Genomic DNA, 1,426 nt, shown 5'->3' on the forward strand with positions numbered 1-1,426 from the left:
GAATTCATAAGAAAAAAATCTGTATATTTGTGAAAAAATCAGGATCTATCATATCCCAAGTTTATTTGGTGGCATTAACATATAATAGTCCATTTGCTTACTCCCCATAAATATGTAAAAAGGCAAAGAGAAAGTAAAAAATAAAATTATTCTTCCACTCACACAAGTGGCTGAATAGGCCTAATCAATATTAACTTCATTGTTCCCCCATAATTCTATATGTTTAGCTTTTAAACATCTATCTTTTAAATATGCTATTTTTATTAATTTGAAGTTAATCAACTAAAATAGGTTCATTCCTTTCACTTTACCAGTATTACAAGTGACTGTCTAGGAGCCTGAGTTCTAATGAGGCAGCCATTCCAAACATGTACAGACAAAGCAGTGGTTTCCCTGGCAACGAGAACCATGAAAAAGCTCTTAGAATAGTTATTCCCACCCTTACACACAACTCCTTTTCATTTCAGTAAAGCTTCCTGTCAGAACACATTCATCGATGTAATTTGCCAACAAAGTTTAAGAGATTAAATCCCCCTCCCCACAAGAATGTAAAAATAAAAAAACAAAATAAAACCTACAATCAAAAATCAACAGCTATGCTGAAATTGTAGTTAGGTCATGAGGTAATGCTTCAAAGGAAGTAAAGGACATCCTAAGACTCCTGAATACAGTTAACACCACTTTGAACCTGAGATTAATTTTCATTTGATTTTTATCAGAGGATACAGAAGGTAGATGCATCAGGAGGAGGGGCAGGTGCCTTTAATCATTACCTCTAGCATTATCACTCACAACCTCAAAGCAGCTTTTATTTAATTTAGTAAAAGTTTATAAAAATTTAAATTATTGTATGCATCAAATTAAGATTTAAGATGTCCTTCATAAACATTAACCTTTTGTTGGTGATGTTTACCAAGAAAGGTAAACTCTGAAAACATGATGTCATCGTTTCAGTTGGTGGAATTAAGTAAAAGATTTTCAAATGAGGCACTTGAACCTATTTTCTATCTATGCATGCAGTAGAAAAAAGCACACAAAACAGGCAGCATTTTGTGTCATGTGGCATTTCAAACAAGAGGGAAAACACATCTGGAAATAAAAGGTGTTTAGTTGAAAGAATTGACCTTAAATAAAACAATTGCAACACTTGATTTGGGCTTCTTACTGGAAATCAAATTCTTTGAGTTTAAAATACACCTACTAAATGTAATACAAAACCAAAATAACACACTTTCAGCATTTCTCAAAATGTTAGCACCCAGCAAATGCAGAGTTTACAGTTCTAGTGATTTTCCCTGTTCTTTTCATGGAATGCATATCTAACCCGTTTTTCAGCCAGCATGCTACAGCAAAGGAAGATTCATGTTGTCCAGGGCTATTTCTTTAAAACAGTATGGAAATTACTTTTACCATAAATTAGGTTGTG

This window comes from Homo sapiens, chromosome 9 (assembly GCF_000001405.40).
Source record: "Homo sapiens chromosome 9, GRCh38.p14 Primary Assembly".
Taxonomy (NCBI): domain Eukaryota; kingdom Metazoa; phylum Chordata; class Mammalia; order Primates; family Hominidae; genus Homo; species Homo sapiens.